Below are 5,788 nucleotides of genomic sequence, written 5' to 3'. Positions count from 1 at the left end.
CTGAACTGTATACTAAACTTCATATTAAAATGGCTAGGCCCTGCGCGGTGGCTCACACCTCTCTTCCCAGTACTTTGGGAGGCCAAGACAGGAGGATCACTTGAGCCCAAGAGTTCAAGACCAGTCAGGGCAACATAGCGAGACCCTGTCTTCGAAAAAATAAAATAAAATGCCAAAAAGGTAAATTTTATGTATATTTCATCCTATAGTTTTTTTGTTTTGTTTGTTTTCAGAGATAGGGTCTCGCTCTGTTGCCCAGGCTAGAGTGCGGTGGCATAATCACAGCGCCGCTGCAATCGGGACCTTCCAGCCTCAAGAGAATCCTCCCACCTCAGCCTCCCAAAGTGCCAGGATTACAAGCGTGAACCACCGCGCAGGGCCTAGCCATTTTAATATGCAATTTAGTGTACAGTTCAGTGACATTAAGTACATTGCCAAGTACTTGGGACTGAAGGTATGTGCCACCGTGCCCAGCTAATTTCTTTATTTGTAGATAGCATCTCACTGTGTTGCCCAGGCTGGTCTCAAACTCCTGGCCTCAAGCAGTCTTCCTCCCTCAGCTTCCCAAAGTGCCGGGACTATAGGCATGAGCCACCACACCCATCCCATCCTAACGGTGTTTAAAAGAGCGAAAAAGAAGCAGAGTCTTCCCATGCCTAGTACCAGGTTTGACTACTCCTCATCATGCTGTCAGTGGTGTATCTTTGGGCAGGTCACTTAATGCCTCCACCTCAGTTTCCGCATCTGTACAATAAGGGATGACAATTTTTTTTTTTTTTATTTAGACGGAGTGTTGCTCTGTCGCCTAGGCTGGAGTGCAGTGGCACGATCTCGGCTCACTGCAAGCTCCACCTCCCGGGTTCACGCCATTCTCTTGCCTCAGCCTCCCAAGTAGCTGGGAATACAGGTGCCCGCCACCACGCCTGGCTGATTTTTTTTGTATTTTTTTAGTAGAGACGAGGTTTCACCGTATTAGCCAGGATGGTCTCGATCTCCTGACCTTGTGATCCGCCTGCCTCGGCCTCCCAAAGTGCTGGGATTACAGGTGTGAGCCAATACGCCTGGGAGTATGTTTTTTCTACATATGCATGCTTACAATAGGGCACAGTAAGAGATTAACAGCAATAACTAATAGAACAATTATAACAATATATTGTCATAAAAGTTATGTGGATGTGGTGTCTGGTGGTGTGTCTGTGTCTCTCTCTGTCAAATTTTCTTCATTATGTAATATTTTCCAACCTAATTGACCATAAGTAACTGAAACAGTGCAATGTGAAACTGGGGGTCGGGGGGGCTACTGTGTTTGGAAGCAGTCTTCCCAGATGTAATCAAGATGAAGTCAAAGTGGACGAGAGTGGACCCTAAATCAGTGATTGATGTCCTTATTAGAAGAAGGAAATTATGGCCGGGCATGGTGGCTCACACCTGTAATCCCAGCACTTTGGGAGGCCAAGGTGGGCGGATGCATTACATGAGGTCAGGAGTTCGAGACCAGCCTGAACAACATGGTGAAACCCCATCTCTACTAAAAATACAAAAATTAGCCAGGCATGGTGGCACATGCCTGTAATCTCAGCTACTCAGGAGGCTGAGGCGGGAGAATCACTTGTACCCTGGAGGCAGAGGGCGTAGTGAGCGGAGATTGCACCATTTCACTCCAGCCTGGGCAACGAGCAAAAATCCATCTCAAAAAAAAAAAAAAAAAAAAACCAACAACAACAACAAAAACTTACTCGATTTTTTGTTTTTATTATTATCTTTATTTATTTATTTATTTATTTTTTGAGATGGAGTCTCACTCTGTCGCCCAGGCTGGAGTGCAGTGGTGCTATCTCGGATCACTGCAAGCTCCACCTCCCGGGTTCAAGCAATTCTCCTGCCTCAGCCTCCCGAGTAGCTGGGACTACAGGCGCCTGCCACCACACCCGGCTAATTTTTTGTATTTTTAGTAGAGACGGGTTTCATCCTGTTAGTCAGGATGGTCTCACTCTCCTGACCTCGTGATCCGCCCGCCTTGGCCTCCCGAAGTGCTGGGATTACAGGCGTGAGCCACTGCGCCTGGCCTATTATTATTTTTTAACAGGGTCTCACTCTGTCACCCAGGCTGGAGTACAGTGGTGCCGTCGCACCTCACTGTAGCTTCAGTCTCACAGGCTCACCTTAGCTTCCTGAGTATCTGGTAGTACAGATCCACACCACCACATCGGGCTACCTTTTTGTTTTTCTGTAGAGATGGGGTCTCACTATGTTGCTCAGTCTGGTCTTCAACTCCTGGGCTCAAGCAGTTCTCCCAACTCTGCCTCCCAAAGTGCTACAGGCATGAGCCAGCAGGCCTGGCCTCCGCTGGTCTATTTCTGAGCCTCTGAGGTGAAGGAGTGGGAAACCTGAGGCACCGCACCAACCCTGGCAGCAGAGATGGCCGGATGAGGCTCCCAGGCTGACCTGCAGCGTGGCCTGTGTTGTGCTTCCAGGGGTAGATTTTTTTCTTTTTGTTTTTGAGACAAGGTCTCACTCTGTCACCCAGGCCGGGAGCACAGTGGCGCAATCATGGCTCACTGCAGCCTCAAACTCCCAGGCTCGTGATCCTCCCGCCGCCTCCTCCTGAGTAGTTGAGACTATAGGCGTGCACCACTGTGCCCGGCTAATTTTTTAAATTGTTTATTTAGAGAGCGAGGCACAGTGGCTCCCACCGGTAATCCCAGCACTTTGGGAGAGTGAGGCAGGAGGATCACTTGAGGTCAGGAGTTCAAGACTAGCCTGGCCAACATGGTGAAACCCTATCTCTACTAAAAATACAAAATTTAGCCGGGTGTGGCCGCAGGCGCCTGTAATCCCAGCTACTCAGGAGGCTGAGGCAGGAGGATCACTTGAGCCCAGGAGGCAGAGGCTGCAGTGAGCCGAGGTTGTGCCACTGCACTCCAACCTAAATGACAGAGTGAGACTCTGTGTCAAAAAAAAAAAATTGTTTTTAGAGATGGGGGAGAGTGTCTCACTGTTAGCCCAAGCTGGTCTTGAACTCCTGGCTTAGAGCAAACCTTCTGCGTTGGCCTCCCAAAGTGCTGGGATTATAGGCATGAGCCACCGCGCTCGGCCCAGGGGTAAGCTTTAATTTCCCTCAAAACTCTTTCTAAAGAAACGTGACTTCATTTTAAGGCCAAATTTATAGTTTCCGTGAAATTATAAGTTTTATGGGTTTGTTGCATTTCTATTGATATTAACATTGGTTCATAACTATGAAAATGAAAAATGTTCCGCCACACGGCCCCTTGGGGAAGCCTGACCTGGCTGGGGAGAGAGGCTGCCTGAGCCCGGAGACTGGGCCGAGACTAACCCCTCCCTTGCTATCAAGAGAGCCTCAACGTCTCTAGGCCTCAGTTTTCTTACCTCGCAGGCTTGGGGGAGTTTGGATGAGATAATGTAGGAAAGCTGTGCCTTTATTTTCCTGTGGGTTTATCTTAACAGAATGAGAAGTATTTCCAAGTAGGCCAACCAGGTTCTGAGCGTGGGGATTTCATGTCTTTGAGGAAGAGGTTCAGAGCCGGGAAGTGTCCAGTCCCTGAGCCTGGGAGCCATGAACCGGGTGGTAGAGATCCAGGGTGACCCTTCCAGGGCCCAGGCAGGTGAGATCTCTAGTGGGGTGGCTCCGGGTGTAGCCTGGGAGCCTCATGCTGGGCTGGAGAGGACTGAGACTCTGACCTCACCACCTGTCCACCATGGGCCAGCCTGGGTGGGTTTGTGGACATTCAGGACCTGTCACAGGAGGCTGAGGCAGGAGGATAGCTTGAGCCTGGAAGGTTGAGGCTGCAGTGAGCCAGGATCGAGCCACTGCACTCCAGCCTGGGCAACAGAGTGAGACCTTGTCTTAAGAAAAGCTAAATTGGCCAGGCGCGGTGGCTCACGCCTGTAATCCCAACACTTTGGGAGCTGAGGTGGGCAGATCTCTTGAAGGCAGGAGTTCAACATCAGCCTAGACAACATGGTGAAATCTCATCTTTACAAAAAATTAGTTGTGTGTGGGGGCGTGCTCCTGTAGTCCCAGCTTCTTGGGAGGCTGAGGCAGGAGAATCGCTTGAACATGGGGTGGGGGTAGAGATTGCAGTGAGCCGAGATCACACCACTGCACTCTAGCCTGAGTGACAGAGTGATAAACTGTCTCAAAAAAAAAAAAGTTAAATTAAAAATATAGGGGGTAGGGTGAAAAAAATAAACTAAAAATATAACAAATTTAAAAATATAACACTTAAAAAAGGAAAATAATTTGGGAGATAGTGGTGGTGATGGCTGCGTCAGTGTGAACATGCTTTATGCCAATATACCATATGCTTTAACGTGGTTAAGATGGTACATTTTATGTTATGTACACTTTACTATAATATTACGCATTTTTTTTACTTTTTTTTTTTTTGTTTTTGAGACGGAGCCTCACTCTGTCACCCAGGCTGGAGTGCAGTGGTGTGATCTCGGCTCACTGCAACCTCCACCTCCCAGGTTCAAGCAGTTCTCCTGCCTCAGCCTCCTGAGTAGCTGGTATTGCAGGTGTAAGCCACCTCACCAGGCTTTTTTACAATTTTTTTAAAGAAAAAAAAATTGAAAGTCATGATTTTTTGGTTGTAGTTCTCTTGCTAACTTGTGGGTAGCCTATTTTTTTTTTTTTTTTTTTTTTTGAGACAGAGTCTCACTGTGTTGCCCAGGCTGGAGTGCAGTGGCACAATCTCTGCTCACTGTAACTCCGCCTCCCGGGTTCAAATGATTCTTCTGCCTCAGCCTCCCCAGTAGCTGAGATTACAGGCGCACACCACTATGCCCGTCTAATTTTTTTTTTTTAATTTTTAGTGGAGATGGGGTTTTACCATGTTGGCCAGCTGGCCTTGAACTCCTGACCTCAGGTGATCCGCCCGCCTCTCAGAGTGCTGGAATTACAGGTGTGAGCCACCGCGCCTGGCCACTGGCTGGGTAACCCTGAAAAAGATACTGGGCCGGGCACGGTGGCTCACGCCTGTAATCCCAGCACTTTGGGAGGCTGAGGCGGGTGGATCACAAGGTCAGGAGATCAAGACCATCCTGGCTAACACGGTGAAACCCCATCTCTACTGAAAATACAAAAAAATTAGCCGGGCCTGGTGGCGGGCGCCTGTAGTCCCAGCTACTCGGGAGGCTGAGGCAGGAGAATGGCGTGAACCCGGAAGGCGGAGCTTGCAGTGAGCCGAGATCGCGCCACTGCACTCCAGCCTGGGCGACAGAGCGAGACTCTGTCTCAAAAAAAAAAAAAAAAAAAAGAAAGAAAGAAAAGAAAAAGATACTGTACTCGCCAGAGCCTCTGCCTTGTCCTTCCTGGGTGGAGCGTGCAGGCTAGAGGGGGAGCTAGGTAGCTTGGACCCATTTAGGTGTCAGGAACTGTGGACAGAATTCGAGTTGGCAGAAGAAACGATTCACCTACAGATGGCGATCTTAGCCCGCCCTTTTCAGTGTGTGAACTAGGCTTGCTTTTTTTACTTAGTTTCTTTTTTAAATTCCTTACATAGTAGGAAGCCGAAAAAGCAGCTTTCTCTCCAGCAAGTTTCTCAGTATCTCAGTAATTTCTCCAGGATGTTCTACATAAACCGGTCTATGTCCAATCTCGCAGGGCACTTGGAGACGCAAAGAGGCATCCATGGATTCAAAGGGTCCAGTGTGGGCCAGGCGTGGTGGCTCACGCCTGTAATCTCAACACTGGGAGGCCGAAGCGGGCAGATCACCTGAGGTCAGGAGTTCCAGACCAGCCTGGCTAATATGGCGAAACCCCATG

General features: G+C 49.0%; 1 protein-coding gene across 1 annotated transcript in view; it reads left to right on the top strand.

Moving 5' to 3' along the window:
- Nucleotides 1–5,788, top strand: part of SNX8 (sorting nexin 8) — a 102,728-nt gene that overhangs the window by 880 nt on the left and 96,060 nt on the right. The gene's annotated exons all lie outside the window — the stretch shown is intronic.

Source organism: Homo sapiens, chromosome 7, assembly GCF_000001405.40.
Source record: "Homo sapiens chromosome 7, GRCh38.p14 Primary Assembly".
NCBI lineage: Eukaryota > Metazoa > Chordata > Mammalia > Primates > Hominidae > Homo > Homo sapiens.
Note: the sequence above shows the minus strand (reverse complement) of the source record. Positions and strands in the feature narration are given on the sequence as shown.